Raw genomic sequence first — 22,914 nt, 5'->3', positions numbered from 1 at the left:
AAGGAAGAAGTTTCCAGGGCCATTGGATTCCAATATCCAAGTAAGGTTGATCTAACTGAAGACAAGTGAACTCGAACCATAGGACAGCTCTGCACTAACCCTCCCACTAGGCTGGATTCTGCCTCTGTTCCATCCCAGCTCCCTTTCTCCTTTATGGACTCAATGAAGTGGTCAAGCAATTATAGATTTTGGCTTGGGACAAGCAAATTACTCAGGATGAAGAAATACTTTGGTGACCTTTAGTGCCCTCAGATCGCCCCTTGCCAACTGAGAACAGAGTACAATAAAACAACAGGGCATTAAGCAGGACCAAGCGCCACTCAGAGGCAAGTGCAGCTCCAAGGGCCCTCAGAGTAAGCTTCTGGGCCTCAGGCGGCCTTCGCTGGAATCCCCTAGTCCCCATTCCTGGTGGGCGGGTTCCATTGACACCTTTCCCGGCCACGCCGAGGGGGAGGAGGCGGGGCCTGGAGCCCCGGAGAGCCAATGTGGACGGCCGTGGTCACGCGCCGCCGTCGAGCAGGCCAATGGGCGCCGGGGGGCGTGTCCAGGGCCTCGGGCTCAGGGCGTTTATAACAACTTGGAATGCTGTGCTTTACTGCGCGCTCTGGTACTGCTGTGGCTCCCCGTCCTGGTGCGGGACCTGTGCCCCGCGCTTCAGCCCTCCCCGCACAGCCTACTGATTCCCCTGCCGCCCTTGCTCACCTCCTGCTCGCCATGGAGTCGCTGGTTTTCGCGCGGCGCTCCGGCCCCACTCCCTCGGCCGCAGAGCTAGCCCGGCCGCTGGCGGAAGGGCTGATCAAGTCGCCCAAGCCCCTAATGAAGAAGCAGGCGGTGAAGCGGCACCACCACAAGCACAACCTGCGGCACCGCTACGAGTTCCTGGAGACCCTGGGCAAAGGCACCTACGGGAAGGTGAAGAAGGCGCGGGAGAGCTCGGGGCGCCTGGTGAGTGCGGCTCCCTCTCGCGGCGCGGGGCGGGCTCCGGCTTGGCCGCCGGCAGGGAGCGGAGGAGGGCGGGCGGCGGCTCGCTCGTTGCTCGGCGGAGAGGCCAGCGTGGTCTTTACCGCGCTGAGCTTGCGGGGCTACTGCGGGGTGTCCCTGGCAGATGTGTCAGTCCGTGATTGCAGGGACAGTGGTCGCAAACTTGCGAACCCCAGCCAGCAACACCGTACTGCTGTGATGATTGCCAAATAAAAGGGAGGCTATGGATAGTTGGCGCGGAAAAACGAATCGTGTCGTGTCCTGGGATAAGATGGATGGGACTTAAGTTGAGTTTTGCTGGGAAAAGACTGTTCAATAGAGTGCAATGGAAAGAGGAAGTAGAAGGCACCCCATCTTAATAGGTATTTGGTAAATATGTGTGTGGTTGAATGAATGGATGAGGTGTGGATTTCCCCAACTCCAAGAATCTGGCAACCCAGCACACTGGAGCTCTGGCACGGGGTGGGTTTTGACATTTAGGTCCTTTCCAGCTCTAAAATTTAGTTGAAATTTCATTATGATGAGTTTTTGATTCTGGAAAATGTGAAACCAGGTCCACTGTACCAGAGACACCTTTCGGTTTGGGGGCCTTTTCAAGAACATGCCCTGTTACTTTGGTGCGAGCGTAGGAGTCTAGCAGTCTGTGTGACCTTGGGCAATTTCCTTCATCTCTGTACTTTGTTTCCCCTTTTGCAGAACTGTAGAAAACACAGCCTGCCTCACAAGCTGCTGTGAGGATTGAATAAGATCGAAATATGAACTTATATTGCTCCTAACACATAGAACTTGCGGTGAGATAGCCGGGCGCGGTGGCTCACGCCTGTAATCCCAGCACTGTGGGAGGCCGAGGCGGGCGGATCGTGAGGTCAGGAGATCGAGACCATCCTGGCTAACACAGTGAAACCCCGTCTCTACTAAAAATACAAAAAATTAGCCGGGCGTGGTGGCGGACGCCTGTAGTCCCAGCTACTCGGGAGGCTGAGGCAGGAGAATGGCCTGAACCCAGGAGGCGGAGCTTGCAGTGAGCCGAGATCGTGCCACTGCACTCCAGCCTGGGCAACAGAGCGAGACTCCGTCTCAAAAACAAAACAAAACAAAACAAAACGAAACAAACAAAAAAAGAACTTGCAGTGAGAATTTCTGGAAAGGGCAGCCCAGAAAGGATGGCAAATTTGTCAAAAGTTAGTTAGCAGTGGTTAACTGGTTCTCAAACTTGAGTTTAAAGTACGTAAGGATCACCTGGGATGTTTGTTTAAAATACTTACATTCTCTGGTTCCACACCCAGAGTAATTTATTCTGAAGGTCTAGGATAGGGCCATATAATGTATATTTTAACAAGCCTTTTAGAGCAGGTGGTTTAGGCATTATTATGTTTTGCCAAATCCAGTTGGGTGCTGGTTGTGAGGGGGTGTGTGTGTGTGTGTGTGTGTGTGTGTATGGTTTGCCCTATTGGCTACATCAGCAGTTACTTCCCCAGATTGTGTTTGCTTTTGCAGCCAGTAGCTGGTTTGAAATTCAAGAAGTCATTTCATTGGTGAAGGAGAGTGGATGTTGGAGAAAGGGGTAGATTATGGCCCCATCAATAGGACCGAGTATGTTTTTCCTGCTATCGCCTGGCACAGTCCCCAGTTGCCTGCTGCCAGGTTACAGCTATTGGGCAATCATGTACTTCCTGGCTTGCCTTTTCTTTCTCTTTCTGCAAAGTGTGAGGGCCCGGTGAGGCTCCAGGCTTGAGGCTGTTGGACCCAGGCTTTGTCAGGGGCTTAGCTGGAAAATAGCTGCTGGTGGCTTGTGCTTCGTGCCTCTTGGGGGTGGAGACACTGGGTCGTGGGGACTGGGGTGGCCCAGAGACTGAGAAACTGAGATTGAAGTTCAGAGTTCCCATCAGGCTCTTGACCCAGGTCACTGTGGGGTGTGTGTGTGGATGTGCATGAGAGAGAGAGAGTAAGAGAGAGATCTCATTTGATTCCAGAATGAGATAAACTAGCTTTCAGTTTTCAAACTTAAGTGGATTTAGGCAGGGATTCCAGCTCTTATTACATCAGAAGATACTCCCTGGCCTCATGCCTCTTGCTCTATGTAGGAAGCCAAGATCAGTAGGCATGGGACCTGCTGTGAACCTCCCTGATCCATAGACCACCCAGTTCTGCAGCTGGGAACTTGCTCAGGGTCTCCTTCCTTCTTGGAGAGCAGCTGCCTGCTGTGCTAATGGTTTCTCAATTCTGGAGCATTGCCTCTTCCCCACCCCACCCCACCCCTGCCTCTTGACTGTCCTTCGTGAATCGAGAGAGACCTAGTGCCTCAGGATACTTCAGTGCGGGAGAGGGGTGTGGGAGCTTGCCCAAGACCTCCCCTAGAATGAATTGAGATTGTTGGTGGGAGCTAGATTCAGAGGAAAGCCAGCTGGGTGACTTCCATCCCAATTTTCTCTCCACCTTTCTAGCACACTTCCCGCTCCCAACCTGCCTAGATGGGATTATCAGGGCCAGATGGGATTGGCTGAGGGAAGGGCAGGTGGGCGGAACTAATGGCTGCTCTAGGAGGACATCAAAGGAAAAACAAATATTTGCTCTGGCTCTTCAATACATTCCTGGTATCCAAATGACATTTCCTCCTGGGACTCACCCAGCTCCCCTGGCCACCCCTTCCCCTAAAGAGAAAAACACATGCTGGGGTCTCTGAAATGGTGGAGTCCACCAAAGCCTTTGGATGATCTGCATGGAAGTCTTACCTCCAAGGGGAACCATTAGGGCCGTGAGTCCAAGTGTATGGTGCTCTGGAGCAAGAGTGCTTCTGTCTTTTTTATGTTTTGGAGTGCAGTGCAGGATTTCAAAATGTTTGGAAATGACTGAGGTGGTCCGAGTCCTTCATTGACAGATAGAGTAGCTGAGGCCCGAAGAGGGGAAGTGACTTATCCTGTAGCTGGTGAGTGGCATGCCTGCAATATGGGCTCCTGGATGACCAAGTACTGAGTCCTAGACTGGGAGTTGGTCTTGAGATGAGCCCAGGCTTGCCTCAGTGTGCTTTGTTATTCCAACAGTTAGCTCCCGCTGTCTTTCCCAGCACTACAGGCAGTGCTTCAGGTGGGAAGAGTCACTGGGAACCAACCCCCACCCTCACATACAGTGACTGTGTTGAAGGATTCTGGGTGGGTGAACTACACTATATTCCTGGGTTTCAAACCTTGTTGGGGATGCTGCCTAGCTGACAGTCAAGGTTGCAAGCATTCAAATCGTGGCTCCATTGCTTACCAGCTGTGCAACCTCTCTGTACCTCAGTTTCCTTATCTGTAAAGTAGGGGTGATAATTATTCCTACCTCGTGGGATTCTCTTAGGATTAAGTAAGATAGCATATGTAAAGTGCTTAGCACAGTGTCTGACACACACAGTGTTATTATCCCAGCAAGGCTGGCTTTGATGAAGTCCTGCCCTTCCCTTTCCTGGGGAATCCCTGCGTCCTGGAGGTCTGTCCTACCCTGAGAAAGAGTATGGATTGTGCTTGGCTTCCCTAAGCCAAACCACTTTGGTTGCTGCTTTGTTCAAAGTCCTCGTCTCTCCTTCGGCCCCAGCTCCAGAGAAGGACTCCTGCCTGGCTGGCTGCCAAGGGCTTGCTTGGCAGGACACTGCCCTCCCAGCTCCCTCTGCACCTGCCTGCTAAGCGGCAGGGAGGGAGGCTGCAGGCCACTCTTGTCCTTGAGCCCCAGCCAAACCACACAAGAAGGCTGGGCAGGGAAGCTCCTTGCCCAGCAACCCGGTAGAGGGGGCTGGAGGATGGCAAGGAGGGGGCAGCACAGTATAGGGAGGTGGCTCAGGCTCCCCTTGGAGCCCATTCCTGATCCCTGCCTAGCTCTCTGGCTGGTGTGGTGGGATGGCGAGCCACCCCTAGGCCCACCCCCACTCTGCCCAGCCTGGGCCAACCCAGCCCAACCTCTCCTCCGTTATCTAAATGGGTCATCCCCTAGCTCCTTGCCCTGCCTCCCAGACAGCAGCTGCTCCACAAAAGGCCAGAGAGAAATCAAGGATCTTGGCTCCAGCTCTGGGTGATAACTATGACCAGAGATGCCCAGCTTGCACCTTCTCTCCCTCCACCTGGAACCAGCATCTCTGGATCTTCTTTTTCTAAGACCTTTCTACCATCCTCTCCTGAATCCAGATCGTTCCTGATCTGAGTCCCTGGGAGGGAGGCAGTGTTTACCAATTGAGCCACAGCACCTACCTCTCCAGGGTGTTGGCAGAGGAGTGGGCATATTTGTATATCTGTAAGTGGGATGGGGTGGCTGGTGATACTACACAGCCTGGCCTAGGGCAAGATATGGGGCATTCCCTTCTCCAGGGATGGGAGGCAGGCAGGGAAATCTCTATGGCTGAGATGGAAGCTTCTCCAGGCACCATCCTTCCATCTTCAGTCCTGATTGTGTCTTGATGTGTTGTGGAACCTTGGAAAAGTCAGTGTGCCTTTCTGGACTTCAGTGTGTGCTGTTTGCAAAATAGAATGAGGAATTAACCCTGCTGCCTTTTCCAATGTTTAGGACTGCAGGGGCAAGAAAACCACTGGGACAGAATCAGAAATTATGCTCAAGCAGGCTACCGTGGCCATAGTATGGGGCTGCTTATAATAATACTTGGCTAGCACCTTCCTGGCATAGTAGCAGGTGGCCCATTTCTGAAGAAGTTCAGCATAGAATTCTAGAGTTTGGAAGGGTGCGTAGAGATCCTGATGTGCAAATTCGTGAATGGCTCTTTCTTTTTGGCCTTTGTTCAAACCTTTCTTTCTGTCTGGAATGCCCTTGTTGCCCCTCCCTAGCCCACCTCCCTTGGCTTAGCAAACCTCACTCATCCTTCAAAATCGAAAGCAGTTTTTCTCCCAGAGGTGGTTTCCCTGCTCCTCCTATGGGCAAAGGAAGTTCTCTCCAGTGCTCTTGGAGCCTCTCTGCAGGCAGGGACATCAACTGCCACATTTATCACAATAGAATGGAGTTTAATTAATTGTCAGTCCTCCCACTGGACTGTGGGACTGTCCACTTTTTATCTGAATCCCTAACACCTAGCACAGTGCCAGCCAGGCACATGGTAGGCACTCAGCAGATGACTGGAGAATAAATATCCTTTCGTTTTTCAGATGAGGACATGAAAACCAGCCAGATGAGTTAACCAGACTTATCTGGTCAAGTGACTTATGTTGAGTTGCATAGCTCTATAGGGGCAAATAAGGATTCGATTCCTGGGCTCTTGATGCCATCTCCACTAATCAGATGTTCAGGTTTATGTTATTATCATTGAATCTGGTTTTCTTTCCCCTTCTGAGTAGGGTGGCCATATATTGTATTATCTAAACTTGGATACTTTGGAGAGTAAAAGGGGCAATATTAGTAATTAGACCAGGACTGTCTCAGGCATGTGGCCTTCCTGCCTCTGGGTGATTGGTTCAGCAATTGTTACCCTCTTCCTTGGTTTTAGTCATTTTATTTTTATTTTTTATTTTTTTTTTAAGACAGAGGCTCGCTCTGTCACCCAGGCTGGAGTGCAGTGGTGCAATCTCAGCTCACTGCAACTTCTGCCCTCCCGGGTTCAAGCAATTCTCGTGCCTCAGCCACAGAGTAGCTGAGATTACAGGAATGCATCACCAGGCCCAGCTAATTTTTGTATTTTTAGTAGAGATGGGGTTTCACCACGTTGGCCAGGTTGGTCTTGAACTTCTGGCCTCGAGTGATTTGCCCGCCTCGGTCTCCCAAAGTGCTGAGATTATAGGCATGAGCCACTGCGCCCAGCCTAATCAACATATTTTTATTCTAGAGAATAGTTGCCTGGCTATCTTGCAGATGAGAACAAAGGTCCCTAAAAATTAGTCCTTATAACCGAGGTGGACTTCACCCATGTCTAGGAAGAAGAGGAGAAAATCTTATCTGAGCACTGCTCCCATCTCAGTCAAAGGTCATCAGCCCAGTGACTTAACTAGTAAATATTTGCGATTTATGTTCACCAGTAAACAATTGTTGAACACTTTCTGTATGCTGAGCTCTGTCTAGGCCTGAGCTGTTGCTCTAATTTACTTTGACAGGCTAGCCAGCAGATAGCTAGAGCCCTCTCCTGTGGGTCCAGGATAGGCTGGGGAGCAGTGGTCTAGCCCCACCAGGGTGGTGATGCATGGCTCTTTTTGTCTGCCACCTGCTTGGAGACCGATAGAGGCCTGATGACATAACTTGTTTGCTTCCTGGAAAGTGCCAGCCGTACTGTGATCTCCTGGGACCTAATATGGATACCTGGTGGGTCCCTAACCTACCCCCTGATGCCAGAGCACAAACTTGCAGGAGGCTGGAACTGTTCAATGAGGATTAACAATTCTGATGTAGAATCATGGGCTTCTGGAGTTGAAAGAGATGGATCTTGGGGTTCAACTTGTGCACTCGCCCCCATGCAGAGACTCCTTCCAGCCCCTCTAACACCCCTTTCTCCCTTTTTTGGAACCTCATTTATTTTAGGCCTTGTCATCTTTAGAGTTCTGCCCCCTAAGCCTATGATGATTTATTTCACTATTGTATCTGCGAGTACACAACTGTACATCCAAGATGTGCCTATGCGTACATCTTAAGTTCTGAAATAGTTTTGATTATCTAGATATGGGATTCATGTTTATATATGATTGATCGTTTTGCTCTTTATGGACCTTTATCTCTGAAGAGCTCATAGAACTTTATCCATTGTTTTATTTTAAACAAAGAATTTTAGAGAGAAAATAACTTGTCCATAAAATCTCCCCCTCAGGGAGAGGAAAAAGGGTATGGAGGCGAGAGGTGTGTGGGAATGATACTCCAAGTTGAATCCAGGAGAGAGAGGTACCTCCTAGTTAAAGGAGGATTCAGGCCCTCTCTACATCTACCCCTGGCCCCCTGCCCAGTTCCAAGCCCAGGTTTTTATTTTTGTTTTTGTTTTTTGCTTAGCTCACTAGGGAGAGATGGATGGTTTGGAGCAGAAGGGGGATAGCCCCATCGCATCCCCTGCAGCTGCAGCATGGGCCTCTTCAGCATCTTGGGGAGGAGGCTCCATGGTGACCATCCCTCCCGCCTGCCATTGTCCTCCCTGCCCTGCTCAGGGAGGGCCCGAGAGCAGGGCCTCCCCTCTTTCAAAGATGAAGCTCTGGGGGAGGAGTGGGATGGAGGGCACGCCATCCCTGGCCCGTTGCCGGGGTGACCGGGCCAGGGCATTGTGAGCAGCTCCTCTTACGGGATTAGGGCTGTTCCGCATTCTTGTCCGATGGAGAACACAGGCCGGCAGGGCCTGCTGCCCCTGCAAGCCAGAAACCATTGTCTGCCTCCAGAGCCCTGTGAAAGGGTGGATTAGAGGCTCCTCCCCTCGAGCAGGGGTTTCCTTTTTTCTCTCTCCCTTTGAATCTTGAGGGGACGCAAACCCTCCTGGGAAATTGAACGAGGAGCTGTTTACCACAGTCTAGGTCTTCAGATTTCTCACAACTTGCCTACCCCCATAAGAGGAAGTCTCGTATTTACCATTTGCGTCCTTGGGCAGCACTTGCCAGGAACTGGCCGGCCCTGTGACACCCCACCCCCACCCAGCTCCCACCTAGCCCTGCAGCCTCTGAGGGCCCCGTGGCATCTGTACGGCTAATTTCATAGACTCAGAGCAGGAAAGCCCCTCAGATCTCTTAGTTCAACCTGTTTGTTTCACAGAAAAAAAAAAAACCCGAGGCTCTGAGAAGGGGTGGGGACTGGCCCAGGGGGACAGTGACAGACTCCCTAGGCAGTGTCTCTCCCCAGCTCCGCGCCTCAGGCCCTGCTCCCTGGTATTTTCTGGGATTTTGTCCAGGAGCTGCTGCTGAGGAGGGTGGAGCAGAGAGGGACCGAGACCCTCGGTGGCTCAGAGCTTTGCTAGCTGCACCTCGGCAGCCCTCTTTCCATTTCTTCCTGCCTCTCTCCACCTTTCCTGAGCCCACCACACATACTGCCTGGAGGGCTTCGTCCTCATGTGGTGTTTTTCATCTTGCCGGGCTAAGATAGCAAGCCCTGAGATAGCAAGCAACTGTTGAGTTGTTTGTTGTCAGGGGAGGAAGGTTTCTCATCTGGACTGAATAGACTGGTGTTTGGGGGCTTTTTTTTTTTTTCTTCATAATTTTGGGACCAATTTTTAAAAACATGGTAAAACATACATAATATAAAAGTTACCATTTTAAGTGTACCAGTAGCGTTAAATTTAACGTTGTTGTAAACCAATCTCCAGAATTCTTTTCATCTTACAAAACCGAAACACTATGCACATTAAACAACACCTCCCCATTTCCCCTCCCCCAGTCCCTGGTAACCACCGTTCTGTTAATACTTTCTGTCCCTATGAATTTGCCTATTCCAGGTACCTCATTTAAGTGGGATCATACAATATTGATCCTTGCGTGACTGGCTTATTTCACTTAGCATAATGTTTTCAAGGATCATCCATGTTATAGCATGTGTCAGAATTTCATTCCTTTTTATGGTTGAATAATATTCTATTCCATCCTATGGACGTACCACATGTAATTTATTCCTACATTTCTTTTCTTTATTTTTTTATAGACAGGGTCTCACTCTGTTGCCCAGGCTGGAGTCCAGTGGTGCAATCATGGCTCACTGCAACTTCTGCCTACTGGGCTCAAGCAATCCTCCCACCTCAGCACGCGCCTATAGCTGGGACTACAGGCATGTGCCACCACACCTGGCTAGATTTTGAATTTTTTGTACAGACAGGGTTTCACCATGTTGCTCAGGCTGGTTGCGAACTCCTGGCCTCAAGGTGATCCTCCTGACTTGGCTTCCCAAAGTGCTTGGATTACAGGCTTGAGCTACCGCACCCAGACCTATCCCTACTTTTCTTGATGGACATTTGGGTTGTTTCCACTTTGTGGCTAGGGACTGATTGCTTATAGCAAGTTACAGAACTGGAGCAGAAAAAGTACCAAACTCAGAATCAGATGGCCAGTAGTCGAATCCACTTGCACCAGTTAGTGACCGTATGACTGAGCACATCATCTAACCTCTCTGGGTCCCAGTTTCTTCACCTGTAAAGGGTATTGATGATGCTTTTTGTGCCCACCTCCCAAGGTTGTTGTGAGGGTCAGTTCATTTACTAATGCAACAAGGAGTTATTCTGTGCCTACTGTGCTCAGCATCAAGAATTCAGTGGTGAGCAAAACTGGCTGGTCCTTGTCCTCATGGTGCAGATTGGCACGTTTGCTTTATAATTCATAACGCATCAGCCTTGCAAATGCAGGTTTTTACCTTCCTTGTCTATCTGTAGACTATGAATAAGGAGGTGACTTGTCGATATTCCTTCCTGCTGCATGGACCATGTGCACTCAGCTCAGGTGAGATCTTTTTCTAGAGAAAGTGCTCTCCAGCCTCTCTGCCACCTACACTGGTGAAGGATGGAGTGGCTTCTATGGGTGTACTCTGTGGCCTTTATAGCAGCTACAGGCAAACCACCAGGACCAGGGCCCCCAGAGTGTCCTCTGCCAAACCTTTCTCCTCACTCTCATGCCTTCTCTTCCCAGGTGGCCATCAAGTCAATCCGGAAGGACAAAATCAAAGATGAGCAAGATCTGATGCACATACGGAGGGAGATTGAGATCATGTCATCACTCAACCACCCTCACATCATTGCCATCCATGAAGGTACAGTGGGCACTTAAAGCTGGAACTTGGGGGTCTATGTGTGTGCATGTGTGTGTTCACATGCGTATGTACATGTGTCAGAAGAAACAACATAAAGAAGTAAAAAAAATATAGGCTCTAGAGAAGAGCAGGAGCTGGATTTGAAACTCAGCTGTATGACTTTGCACAACTCATTGAATTTAGTCTCTGGGCCTCAGTTCCTCATTTATAAAATGGGGTAATCCCATCTACATCACAGTGTGGTTGCAAAGATCAAACTGTTTATGTCATTGAATGCTCCACTCATGGGAGGTACTCAAGGAATTGCAGGTTTTTTTGTTGTTATAATTCGGTTTTCCCTACTTGAACACTACCTTCCCAACCCAGTGAGCTCCTTAGCAATCTGGGGGAGGCTGAAACATACATAGACCTGCACCTGTCTCAGGTGCGTGGGTGCTATTCTTCATGCGTCCCAAGAGCCAGACCTCCTAGAGTCTGACCTGGGCTCTGAATCATTCCTGCCACAGGGCTGGCTCCTACCTCTCCTTGTCTTTCTTGGCCTCCTCTTCTCTGACATCAGTGCTGATTTCACCACTCCAGCTGCCCTCCTCCCCATGACCCAGACAACAAAGTGAGCAAGAGAGGGTGACGAAGGAAAGATGGGGAGCCCTCTCTTACACACACCTGTCTGCGTCGAGACTTTACATAATATCAGTTAGATGAGAAGCGAGGGATAGCAACAGGAGGGAAGAAAGGGAGACTGTAACTCTGCCCTTTGTCTGTATATTCCTGGTGGGGAAAAAAATAGAGCAGTCTCTGCTCTTGGGTCGTGTTCATAGAAAGATTAAGGGTAGAGCCTTAAGGGTAGAGCCTTAAGACATAGCCCTGTGGCTTAAGCCTGTCCCATGAAGAGCCAGGCAAGTGGCTGAGAAGGCTAATTTTATCTCTGTGTGTGCTTCCCTCAGGGAAGAGTGGGGAGACAACAAAGTATTGGTTAAGCCAGGCTGAGTGTGGTGATTGGGGTGTGTGTGTGTATATATATGTGTGTGTGTGTATATGAATTCTGCCTTACACCCATATCTCCAGCTAGGCTGAGTGTGGTGATTGGTGTGTGTGTGTCTGCATGTGTGTGCGTGTGCATGTGTGTGTGAATTGTGCCTTACACTCATATCTCCAACTGGATCTGGGAACTGAGCACTGCAGCTCAGGGTATGGCTTCTCTGGCACCTTCAGATTCAACAGACATAAGAACATCATAGTTACTGTGTGTCTGGAGGGGCTCCCCCAAATTCATCCCCTTCCTGCTACTGGCTTCAAGGGATGTGAGGTAGCGGGTGTGCCTCAGTCCTGGGAAATGACATCTAACCTAGCTGTTCTCCAAAATGTGCCCTGGCTGGCTTTTGACTCCCGATTTTATGGCACAAAGGCTGCATGCACCCTTGCAGAGATGATGAGAGCCATAGGGGTGGAGTCTCAGCCAGGCATCCCCAGGAGGCTGGGCCTCCACAGATAAGGGCCATTTATTCCTGTCCCCCTGGACAAAAGGACAGTCCTCCTGGCCATGTATCCAATTCCCTGGAAGCTGGGACTCCTCTAGGGAGAAGGCTCTTCACTTCACTCCTTCTCAGAGCCTAGACAGCATTAGCTCTGGGGCAGGCCAAGCAAGCCAAACTCATAGGACCCGTTTGACACAAAGATGCAATGTCAGGGACATACATGTTCTAATACACACCAGGCAGAAGGGCCAGTTTGGTGAACCAGCCACTCCCTACCTAGTCTTCAAGTGGCAAGAGGGCCACTCCTACCCAGAGAGATGAGCCAGCTGGGATGAGGTGGCTGCCAGGAACCCAGCCAGTCAATTAATTACCAAATATGTATTGATTGCTTCTGTGTACAAGGCCTTATGCATGAGGCCCTGCCCTGGATCCTCTGGATGGAAGTCAGAGATGGTGATGGATATCTCAGCTCTCCCTGGTGCTTTATAGTTCATGATCCACTTTAATATACTTTTATTCCCTCTTCTGATCCTCAAGACAGACATTATTATTGGCCTTATTTTTCAAATGTATGCATGAGGGCACTGATTATAAACATAACTGTGGCCAGGCGCGGTGGCTCACGCCTGTAATCCCAGCACTTTGGGAGGCCGAGGCGGGCTGATCACATGGTCAGGAGTTCAAGACCAGCCTGGCCAACATGGTGAAACCCCGTCTCTACTAAAAAATACAAAAATTAGCCTGGCATGGTGGCGCGCACCTTTAATCCCTGCTACTCGAGAGGGTGAGGCAGGAGAATCGCTTGAGCCTGGGAGGTGGAGGTTGCAGTGAGCCGAGACCACGCCACTGCACTCCAGCCTAGGTGACAGAGCGAGACTCTGTCTCAATAAATAAAGAAATAACTGTAGGTACCATTTATCGAGTGCTTGTTTATATGTCAGACCTATACCAGCTTGCTCAGCCAGCCCTGGAACTGCTGTTGACTTTTTATATTTCTCACCCCAGCCCTGTGAGGTTGCCTTATTATCCTGCTTTTCAAATGAGGAAACTGAGGCACAGTGGTTTAATGACTTGTCCAAGATCACCCAGCAAACCTGCATTCTTACTCATGTATCTAGAAGAGATTTGCCCAAGGCCACAAGGTGAAAAAGTACCAGGTTCTTGAACCAAGGAGCCTGGCCTTTCATTCCCATCTAGTGACGTCTCTGCCTTCCTGAAAGGGCAGGGTCATTTTCAGAATTCCCAAAAGCCTGAACTTCCACGGAGGCAGAGGATGAGCCAGTGTCTTTGGCCTTAACTCATGGCTCCTGGAAGATGCTGAGAACTTCCAAGGCCCTTCTTCTGCCCTTATTTGCCACCGTATAGCCCCATTAGCAGATATTCCTGGAGGGGGGTCCTGTCTGGTTTGGGGCCTGGGGTCGGGGAGGAGTGAGTCACCCCCAGTGGAGAGCAGTGCACTCTGGGAGGGCCTGACGTTCCTTGCCTTGCTCTGCCCAGTGTTTGAGAACAGCAGCAAGATCGTGATCGTCATGGAGTATGCCAGCCGGGGCGACCTTTATGACTACATCAGCGAGCGGCAGCAGCTCAGTGAGCGCGAAGCTAGGCATTTCTTCCGGCAGATCGTCTCTGCCGTGCACTATTGCCATCAGGTGAGCACCTACCTGCTCCAGCCATATTCTCAGTGGGTGGTCCCCAGGGCTCTAGGGCTGTTTTGGACCAGAGAGGTTCCATGACTTGTCCAGGATCACACAGAAACAGAGGCAAAACTAGATTCTGGACTCTCAGGGAAATGTCAGTGTCTCTGACTTTGAGTCCCTTCTCCGCGGATAGAAGGGCCCGTGATTTCTTGCAGCACATACCGATAAAGATAGGCATTCCCAGCCTACCTGTGCTCAAGCCCACTTGGCTCCCTTTGTGTTTACCTCAGTCTCCAGACTGGGCCCCTCATCATCTTCCCTTCCCTGGTGACCTTCCCGTGACTGCCCTCTCCTTCTTTCAGAACAGAGTTGTCCACCGAGATCTCAAGCTGGAGAACATCCTCTTGGATGCCAATGGGAATATCAAGGTGAGTCCCACTTCTTATTTCTAGAAGCCTCCTTGCCCACCCCAGCTTTTCTGCACTGTCCCCAGCCAAGTAGCTCTAAGCTCTTGGTGGATTCCTGAAGGAGCTGAGCAAGGCTGACCTTCATTGGTACTGGTAGGGACCTCAGCCATCATCCATTCCAACACCTCATTGTGTGGATGGAGAGCTGGAGCCTCAGCTGAGGGGTGCTTTGCACAAGATCACACAACTAGCACGTGGCTGAGCCTGGACTAGAACCAAGATCTTCTGATTCCCAGATGAGTGCTCCTTTGATGTCATAAGGCTGACAGGAGTCTAGATCTAAGGTCAGGTTTGCTACAACCTTGGGACAGGCCCGGCCTGAGTTCTTCTCATGTATGTACACACTTGCATACACACACACATGCATGCTTTAATCTGGTACAATTAGATAGCCCTTTGGAAACTTCCCACAGATGAAGGACTCCAGCTCCAGCTTCCTGCTTTCTGCAGCTGCTAGATTTCCATGCTTAAGTAGTTAAATTTAGGCATGGAGAAGTTCATGTTGATGGGATAAACTGAGATCTCAGGGCTGGAGGAAGGACATGGCACAGGGAGGCTGGCCCCTGCAGGCATCTGGGAAGGTGACGCTGCACTCTGACCCTCTTCAGAATCTTCCTGAACCCAGGACATAGTCTCTTCCAGTGGCTTTTGACCTGTACCCTGAGGTGCCCTGGTACTGAGTTCATTCCCTCTTACCAGCCAATTCCCGGAGCAGGTGGGGCTTTCTTTGATGCTGAGCAGAAGGGAGGGAAGCCAGAGCCAGTAAACCCGCATAATCAGGCACAAACATGGACAGGCATGAACTTTCCTATCTGCACCAATCATGTGCTTCATTATGGGCTTCAACTGGTAACTGCTTGATAAGAGGCCAATAAAACCATAAACAAAGGAGCCAGAGTTTCATAAACAGCCCCTCCCCACCCTGAATACACATAACCCTCTGATGTGGTGAAGAGGTGGGGAGCACCAGGGCATGGCCTCAGCCTCTAACTGAGGATAGGTGGGAAAGGGTCTCTCCGGGCAACGAGACGATGGGGTTGGGTTCTCAAGCCCTCAATATCAGATGGTTCAGGGAGTCTTGGGCTGTAACCACAGCCCTGATGTTTGTTCTGCCCTCATTATTGCTTCTTAGCTATATTGGGCTGACCCCAGGTTCCTGCCACCAAGTTCTTGCCCCGGTGTGCACACAGGAATGAGCCCTTTGCTAGGAAGGGCAGCTCAAGTCTTACGTGGTTCATTGGTTATAGGGCTTGCTTGTTCCTGAGGGCCATGCCATTATCATGAGGTGCTGGCTTTCCCCCTCCATCTGGCTGACCCTCCTTTCCATCACTAAACATCATTAGAGCCTCATGCAGGGTCTCACCTGGGCTAGCAGCTGCAGGAGAGGTGGGGGCAAGGAGGTCAGCATGGGAGTGTACAGTCTGTCTGGAAGGCAGATCTAATGAGCAGGGGCTCCAGGGAGGCATTGGAAACTCTAGGCTTCTAGAAGGAGATGGGAGACTTTCCAAGGGATATGGGCATGAGACAGCATCTCTGTAGTGGAATGCCATGTGAGCAAAGTGGTCTGGGGAGCAGTGAGGATCCTGGAGCCCCCGCAAAGCTCTGTCTAGATGCTCCTTATTGACACAGCTCCTCAGGGTTCGTTCTTCCAGGGCCTGAGCTATGCTGACAGTGCTCAGTGTGGGGTAAGGGTCATGGGGACCCTTTCCTTCTATTGGAGCTTGGGTTTCCCCAGGGTCTGGAGAAGGGCGGGCCAAGAGCTGCAGAAAAACCCAGGCCTTGACATGACCTGTGCCCGTGTTTGACTCAATCCTGCAGATTGCTGACTTCGGTCTCTCCAACCTCTACCATCAAGGCAAGTTCCTGCAGACATTCTGTGGGAGCCCCCTCTATGCCTCGCCAGAGATTGTCAATGGGAAGCCCTACACAGGCCCAGAGGTAAGTGGCCACCCTCCCCTGCCAGCCTGCCTCAGATGTTTACTATGACTTTAGATCCTGGGAGATTGATGGGCTAGTTTTCTCGTTATTCACATTTTCAGAGCACAACTCTCAAGCCTCCCAAAAAGTAGTAACTTGCCAGGTGTCTAGCCAGGAATGGCAAAACTAGAACTAGGCCGGGCACAGTGGCTCACACCTATAATCCCAGCACTTTGGGAGGCCGAGGTGGGTGGATCACTTGAGGTCAGGAGTTCGAGACTAGCCTGGCCAATGTGGTGAAACCCCATCTTTACTTAAAAAAATATAAAATTAATGGGGCTTTGTGGCACCCACCTGTAATCCCAGTTACTTGGGAGGCTGAGGCAGGAGAATCACTTGAACCTGGGAGGCAGAGGTTGCAGTGAGCCAGGATCATGCCACTGCACTCCAGTCTGGGCAACAGAGCAAGACTCCATCTCAAACAAACAAACAAACAAAAACCAAAAAAACCCCTAGAACTAGAACTTAGGTCTCCTGACTCCTAGGTTAGTTCTTTGCCTCCCTCACATTCCTCATTCCTGTTACCTTTCCCAGCACCCAGTCCAGCCTCCTGAGAGTGATGTAGAGATGATATCTGTCACAACCACCCCTTCCCCAGCCCGGAAGAGATGACCTGGCTGTAGCTCTTGTGCTTGTGGCTGTCCCTCGCAGGAAATGCGATTGACAACATCTCAGACCCCTTCTGCAGCATCCCCGTCTTGGCCCCTGGGTAGGAGAGGTGGGTCGTCCTCAGGTGTGCTGGCCTCTGAGTTCTCCAGCATGTAACATTTTCCTGTCTGGTATGGGCATCCCTGCTGACCTCCCCCATCTCTCTCAGGTGGACAGCTGGTCCCTGGGTGTTCTCCTCTACATCCTGGTGCATGGCACCATGCCCTTTGATGGGCATGACCATAAGATCCTAGTGAAACAGATCAGCAACGGGGCCTACCGGGAGCCACCTAAACCCTCTGGTGAGTAAGAGGTGTGGGCGTTCTTATCCAGGCCTGGGGTGTCCTTCACTCATTCCTAAGGCAGAAACTACACAGTGGCACTAAAGTCAAACGGGCAACAGTCCATCATGGCCCATGGTAGGTTAGGGTACCCTCCACCGTATGTCCAATGTTGAGACCTCTGGGGAAGGAGGGGATAGCTCTTTCTTTCCCACAGGGGCATGTTTGATTATATTTGGGAAGTGGTTCCTAAGGTCTCACTTAGATCTTCTTTGCTACAGTTGTCTCATTTCCTATTGCTTTTGTTCTCATCTTCAGAAATCTTTTTGTCCTTCACTATGACTCAGAAGGCAGGAAGAAGGGTGTGAGAGACCCAGTTTACCCTGAACACAGTCTCTACCCTCAGAGGGTTGAATTTCAATGGAGAGAGAGAGGATAGACACCAACATACACACAAGGGCTTATGAAGGGGTCACAGTCCTGAGGGGTCAGAGGACAGAGAGGCAGCTGGAGGAGTCAGTCCAGGAACTCTGGACTGGGGAGCTGTCCTGGGCCAAGGCATGTATAGAGCCCTAGGTTGGAAGGGACGCATCCGACCCAGGAGTATGCAGTGTCATAGCTCAAAAGGGGATGAGCTGGGGACAGGGGACAGGGAGTGCCTATTCTGGGAGCTGCCAAACTGAAGCACCTGCCTTTTGTCTTCCAGATGCCTGTGGCCTGATCCGGTGGCTGTTGATGGTGAACCCCACCCGCCGGGCCACCCTGGAGGATGTGGCCAGTCACTGGTGGGTCAACTGGGGCTACGCCACCCGAGTGGGAGAGCAGGAGGCTCCGCATGAGGGTGGGCACCCTGGCAGTGACTCTGCCCGCGCCTCCATGGCTGACTGGCTCCGGCGTTCCTCCCGCCCCCTCCTGGAGAATGGGGCCAAGGTGTGCAGCTTCTTCAAGCAGCATGCACCTGGTGGGGGAAGCACCACCCCTGGCCTGGAGCGCCAGCATTCGCTCAAGAAGTCCCGCAAGGAGAATGACATGGCCCAGTCTCTCCACAGTGACACGGCTGATGACACTGCCCATCGCCCTGGCAAGAGCAACCTCAAGCTGCCAAAGGGCATTCTCAAGAAGAAGGTGTCAGCCTCTGCAGAAGGGGTACAGGAGGACCCTCCGGAGCTCAGCCCAATCCCTGCGAGCCCAGGGCAGGCTGCCCCCCTGCTCCCCAAGAAGGGCATTCTCAAGAAGCCCCGACAGCGCGAGTCTGGCTACTACTCCTCTCCCGAGCCCAGTGAATCTGGGGAGCTCTTGGACGCAGGCGACGTGTTTGTGAGTGGGGATCCCAAGGAGCAGAAGCCTCCGCAAGCTTCAGGGCTGCTCCTCCATCGCAAAGGCATCCTCAAACTCAATGGCAAGTTCTCCCAGACAGCCTTGGAGCTCGCGGCCCCCACCACCTTCGGCTCCCTGGATGAACTCGCCCCACCTCGCCCCCTGGCCCGGGCCAGCCGACCCTCAGGGGCTGTGAGCGAGGACAGCATCCTGTCCTCTGAGTCCTTTGACCAGCTGGACTTGCCTGAACGGCTCCCAGAGCCCCCACTGCGGGGCTGTGTGTCTGTGGACAACCTCACGGGGCTTGAGGAGCCCCCCTCAGAGGGCCCTGGAAGCTGCCTGAGGCGCTGGCGGCAGGATCCTTTGGGGGACAGCTGCTTTTCCCTGACAGACTGCCAGGAGGTGACAGCGACCTACCGACAGGCACTGAGGGTCTGCTCAAAGCTCACCTGAGTGGAGTAGGCATTGCCCCAGCCCGGTCAGGCTCTCAGATGCAGCTGGTTGCACCCCGAGGGGAGATGCCTTCTCCCCCACCTCCCAGGACCTGCATCCCAGCTCAGAAGGCTGAGAGGGTTTGCAGTGGAGCCCTGAGCAGGGCTGGATATGGGAAGTAGGCAAATGAAATGCGCCAAGGGTTCAGTGTCTGTCTTCAGCCCTGCTGAACGAAGAGGATACTAAAGAGAGGGGAACGGGAATGCCCGCGACAGAGTCCACATTGCCTGTTTCTTGTGTACATGGGGGGGCCACAGAGACCTGGAAAGAGAACTCTCCCAGGGCCCATCTCCTGCATCCCATGAATACTCTGTACACATGGTGCCTTCTAAGGACAGCTCCTTCCCTACTCATTCCCTGCCCAAGTGGGGCCAGACCTCTTTACACACACATTCCCGTTCCTACCAACCACCAGAACTGGATGGTGGCACCCCTAATGTGCATGAGGCATCCTGGGAATGGTCTGGAGTAACGCTTCGTTATTTTTATTTTTATTTTTATTTATTTATTTATTTTTTTGAGACGGAGTTTCGCTCTTGGTGCCCAGGCTAGAGTGCAATGGCGCGATCTCAGCTCACCTCAACCTCCGCCTCCCGGGTTCAAGCGATTCTCCTGCCTCAGCCTCCCTAGTAGCTGGGATTACAGGCGCCCGCCACCATGCCCGGCTAATTTTGTATTTTTAGTAGAGACAGGGTTTCTCCATGTTGGTCAGGCTGGTCTCAAACTCCCGACCTCAGGTGATCCACCCACCTCGGCCTCCCAAAGTGCTGGGATTACAGGCGTGAGCCACCGCGCCCCACCTAACCCTTCCTTATTTAGCCTAGGAGTAAGAGAACACAATCTCTGTTTCTTCAATGGTTCTCTTCCCTTTTCCATCCTCCAAACCTGGCCTGAGCCTCCTGAAGTTGCTGCTGTGAATCTGAAAGACTTGAAAAGCCTCCGCCTGCTGTGTGGACTTCATCTCAAGGGGCCCAGCCTCCTCTGGACTCCACCTTGGACCTCAGTGACTCAGAACTTCTGCCTCTAAGCTGCTCTAAAGTCCAGACTATGGATGTGTTCTCTAGGCCTTCAGGACTCTAGAATGTCCATATTTATTTTTATGTTCTTGGCTTTGTGTTTTAGGAAAAGTGAATCTTGCTGTTTTCAATAATGTGAATGCTATGTTCTGGGAAAATCCACTATGACATCTAAGTTTTGTGTACAGAGAGATATTTTTGCAACTATTTCCACCTCCTCCCACAACCCCCCACACTCCACTCCACACTCTTGAGTCTCTTTACCTAATGGTCTCTACCTAATGGACCTCCGTGGCCAAAAAGTACCATTAAAACCAGAAAGGTGATTGGAAGCAGGCCCTGCTGTTCTCTTTGGTGACTGAGGTGGGGAGGGATGGTGCTGAGCAGGTTTTTGAGCCTTCTCCTAATACTCGTTCCCCTAGGCTGCCAGGGATGGGAAATAGAAAAACTGCCGAATCAAAACAAACGTGAGCTCAGTAGCTCTGGCCTGACCCTATTAAGCACACAGGTGGGAAGGCCCTGGGCCCAGGGTCCCAGTTGCTCTTCCGGCCTTTGGCACTAAAGTAGAAGTGGATTTGGCAGATTATCCCACCCTGCCCCCACCACCTGCCTCCTTCTCCTCCCACCCCTGCTCCTGTCTGCTTGAGCCCTGCTCCTGCTGCGTAAAGACACCCCCACAGCCTTTATTCTCTCCCTCCTAAGAAATCCCCTTTACTCTGGTGCTGGGCAGCTTTTCCCCCCTCCGTCCTCACTGCCTGACTCCCAGAGAAAGCAAAGAATGCCTGGAATGTCCACCCCCACCGTACGCCAACTCCCTCAGCCCCCTGCAGAGCATTCCCCACACGCCTGCTCCATTGAGAAACTCCCAGGCTCCGAGGGCTGGGGATGAAAGGGAGGATGAGGACAAAGTGCCGGCCAGCAGCCGGCTGGCTCTGGCTTCAGGCAGCCTCCCTCCCCCACCCCGACCCACTCTGGTAGTCACAGGAGGCCTCCAAACGTCCCCAGCTCTGGCTCTGGCCCCACAACACACCTGTCCTGCCGGCTGTCGGTGCCTGCCCAGTGGAGCGCGTTGGACCTCCCCTCCCACACCTGGAGAGCTGAGCTGGCAAAGTCACTAGTCTGCAAAGGAGATGGGGAGGGCAAGGCAACTATGAGGTCAAGATGGGAGAGCAAACAAGACATTGCTTAGGCGACACTGGAGTACTTAGGTCTTAAGTCTCTGAGGTCCTACTCAGTGCTGGAACTCTGGGCTAGACTCTGGGTAAACATGGAAAAAATCCAGGGGGTGGGTTTATCTCCAGAAGCTTAGAGTTCAGCTGTGGGGGTAGCAGTGCTCCTTTATTCATTCCTCTCATGAATCAAGCCCTTTTGTGTGCTAAGCTTAGTAGAAGACAGAGGTAATTGCTGTATCCCTGGTGCAAAAAAAAAAAAAAAAAAAACAGAGATCTTAGCCTCAAGGAGGTTACAGGCTGTGGGTAAGGTAGCATGCAATTCAGTGAGAAATTGTTATTGGTTCAGATCATGTTGAAAGGGAGTTTGGGGACGGCGCGGTGGCTCATGCCTGTAATCCCAGAACTTTGGGAGGCAGAGGTGGGCGGATCACAAGGTCAGGAGATCGAGACCATCACGGCTAACACGGTGAAACCCCGTCTTTACTAAAAATATAAAAAATTAGCCGGGCGCGGGGGCGGGCGCCTGTAGTCCCAGCTACTCAGGAGGCTGAGGCAGGAGAATGGCGTGAACCCAGGAGGCGGAGCTTGCAGTGAGCAGAGATCGCACCACTGCACTCCAGCCTGGTCTCAAAAAAAAAAAAAAAGAAGAAAAAGGGAGTTTGGATGATGGAAAGAATTGCATCTTCGGAGATAATAATAGGGGCTACCATTCACTAAGTGCTTATGGGTCAAGCCCTTTAGGTGTGTTACCTCATGTAATGCTCACGATAGTCTTGTTAGTTCAGTACTATTTCTATCATTCTCATTTTATAAAAGAAATGGAGACTCAAAAACATTAAGTAGGCCAGGCGCAGTGGCTCACATCTGTAATCCCAGCACTTTGGGAGGTCGAGGCAGAAGCATCACTTGTCAGGAGCTCGAGACCAGCCTGGCCAACATGGTGAAATCCTGACTTTACTAAAAATACAAAAAATTAGCCGGTCATGGTGGCGCACTCCTCTAGGCCCAGCTACTCGGGAGGCTGAGGCAGGAAAATCCCTTGAACCTGGGAGGCGATAGTTGCAGTGAGCTGAGATTGTGCCACTGCACTCCAGCCTGGGCAACAGAACAAGACTCTGTCTCAAAAAAAAGGAACTTGATAGCAAATGGAGAAATCAGACCTCAAACCCAGGTTTGGCATCCCACAGACTCACTTGAATGGCATGGTGTTTGGAGAATTGGATAAAAGAATGTAAGTGAAGGAACTATAAATTTATATGCCAGGTTTATTTATAAATATTTATTATATGAGCATCCATTATATGCCAGGTTCTTTTGCAGGCACAAGGAATATGCCAATTTCCCAAGTGCCCTTTCCTAGTCTCCACAAGCCCCAAGAGAAAGCTAAGAAAGAAGAGAGTGAGGCCAGGCGTGGTGGCTCATGCCTGTAATCCCAGCACTTTGGGAGGCCAAGGTGGATGGATCACCTGAGGTCAGGAGTTCGAGACCAGCCTGGCCAACATGGTGAAACCTCGTCTCTACTAAAAATACAAAAAAAATTAGCCAGGCATGGTGGAGCATGTTTGTAGTCCCAGCTGCTTGGGAGCCTGAGGCAGGAGAATTGCTTGAACCCGGGAGGCAGAGGTTGCAGTGAGCCTAGACTGCGCCACTGCACTCCAGCCTGGGTGACAGCAAGACTCAGTCTCAAAAAAAAAAAAAAAAAAAAAAAGAGAGAGAGAGAGAGAGTGAGTGGGAGAAGCAGAAGAGTGTTTTTTTGTTTGTTTGTTTTTTTGAGACAGAGTCTCGCTCTGTCAC

General features: G+C 51.3%; 1 protein-coding gene across 3 annotated transcripts, besides 8 other annotated features; it reads left to right on the top strand.

Annotated features, from left to right (window-relative positions):
• The first annotated feature begins 597 nt into the window (after window positions 1-597).
• On the top strand, window positions 598-20,280 carry NUAK2 (NUAK family kinase 2). Of its 3 annotated transcripts, NM_030952.3 has the most exons (7): window positions 598-945; window positions 10,518-10,638; window positions 13,611-13,762; window positions 14,113-14,178; window positions 16,036-16,155; window positions 17,012-17,144; window positions 17,830-20,280. In NM_030952.3, exons 1-7 carry the CDS (start codon window positions 715-717, stop codon window positions 18,891-18,893), a joined length of 1,887 nt encoding a protein of 628 aa, NP_112214.3. In that variant the 5' UTR covers window positions 598-714; the 3' UTR covers window positions 18,894-20,280. The 3 variants fall into 3 exon arrangements, with proteins under 3 accessions (NP_112214.3, XP_047287265.1, XP_005245572.1); XM_047431309.1 differs by lacking the exon at window positions 598-945 and having other exon boundaries at window positions 10,549-10,638; window positions 14,118-14,178; XM_005245515.5 differs by lacking the exons at window positions 598-945; window positions 10,518-10,638; window positions 13,611-13,762; window positions 14,113-14,178; window positions 16,036-16,155 and adding an exon at window positions 16,804-16,912.
• Window positions 912-1,091: a silencer, noted in NCBI's record as "silent region_1736". NCBI's record gives its function as "represses an Ori minimal core promoter by ATAC-STARR-seq in GM12878 lymphoblastoid cells {active_cell/tissue: GM12878}" and the evidence as "EXISTENCE:reporter gene assay evidence [ECO:0000049][PMID:35858748]".
• Window positions 8,590-8,679: an enhancer, noted in NCBI's record as "active region_2379". NCBI's record gives its function as "activates an Ori minimal core promoter by ATAC-STARR-seq in GM12878 lymphoblastoid cells {active_cell/tissue: GM12878}" and the evidence as "EXISTENCE:reporter gene assay evidence [ECO:0000049][PMID:35858748]".
• Window positions 17,470-18,320: an enhancer, noted in NCBI's record as "H3K27ac-H3K4me1 hESC enhancer chr1:205273151-205274001 (GRCh37/hg19 assembly coordinates)". NCBI's record gives its function as "activates a minimal SCP1, AML or CMV promoter by ChIP-STARR-seq in naive H9 embryonic stem cells {active_cell/tissue: H9 hESC(naive)}" and the evidence as "EXISTENCE:reporter gene assay evidence [ECO:0000049][PMID:30033119]".
• Window positions 19,174-20,025: an enhancer, noted in NCBI's record as "H3K27ac-H3K4me1 hESC enhancer chr1:205271446-205272297 (GRCh37/hg19 assembly coordinates)". NCBI's record gives its function as "activates a minimal SCP1, AML or CMV promoter by ChIP-STARR-seq in naive and primed H9 embryonic stem cells {active_cell/tissue: H9 hESC(naive and primed)}" and the evidence as "EXISTENCE:reporter gene assay evidence [ECO:0000049][PMID:30033119]".
• Window positions 20,026-20,878: an enhancer, noted in NCBI's record as "OCT4-NANOG-H3K27ac-H3K4me1 hESC enhancer chr1:205270593-205271445 (GRCh37/hg19 assembly coordinates)". NCBI's record gives its function as "activates a minimal SCP1, AML or CMV promoter by ChIP-STARR-seq in naive H9 embryonic stem cells {active_cell/tissue: H9 hESC(naive)}" and the evidence as "EXISTENCE:reporter gene assay evidence [ECO:0000049][PMID:30033119]".
• Window positions 20,026-21,730: a biological region, named in NCBI's record as "OCT4-NANOG-H3K27ac-H3K4me1 hESC enhancers GRCh37_chr1:205269741-205270592 and GRCh37_chr1:205270593-205271445".
• Window positions 20,668-20,962: an enhancer, noted in NCBI's record as "tiled region #6944; HepG2 Activating DNase unmatched - State 1:Tss". NCBI's record gives its function as "activates a minimal TATA promoter and a strong SV40 promoter by Sharpr-MPRA in HepG2 cells {active_cell/tissue: HepG2}" and the evidence as "EXISTENCE:reporter gene assay evidence [ECO:0000049][PMID:27701403]".
• Window positions 20,879-21,730: an enhancer, noted in NCBI's record as "OCT4-NANOG-H3K27ac-H3K4me1 hESC enhancer chr1:205269741-205270592 (GRCh37/hg19 assembly coordinates)". NCBI's record gives its function as "activates a minimal SCP1, AML or CMV promoter by ChIP-STARR-seq in naive and primed H9 embryonic stem cells {active_cell/tissue: H9 hESC(naive and primed)}" and the evidence as "EXISTENCE:reporter gene assay evidence [ECO:0000049][PMID:30033119]".

This window comes from Homo sapiens, chromosome 1 (genome assembly GCF_000001405.40).
Source record: "Homo sapiens chromosome 1, GRCh38.p14 Primary Assembly".
NCBI classification, from domain to species: domain Eukaryota; kingdom Metazoa; phylum Chordata; class Mammalia; order Primates; family Hominidae; genus Homo; species Homo sapiens.
The sequence above is the reverse complement of the archived record's forward strand: the minus strand, read 5'-3'. Positions and strand labels throughout refer to the sequence as shown.

Bases quoted from the DNA above. Each gene is read 5' to 3' on its own strand.
- NUAK2 (NM_030952.3), top strand. From the start codon at position 715: ATGGAGTCGCTGGTTTTCGCGCGGCGCTCCGGCCCCACTCCCTCGGCC. The intron at 10,639-13,610 runs GTACAGTGGGCA...TGCTCTGCCCAG, and splicing joins CATCATTGCCATCCATGAAG to TGTTTGAGAACAGCAGCAAG. The intron at 13,763-14,112 runs GTGAGCACCTAC...TCCTTCTTTCAG, and splicing joins CCGTGCACTATTGCCATCAG to AACAGAGTTGTCCACCGAGA.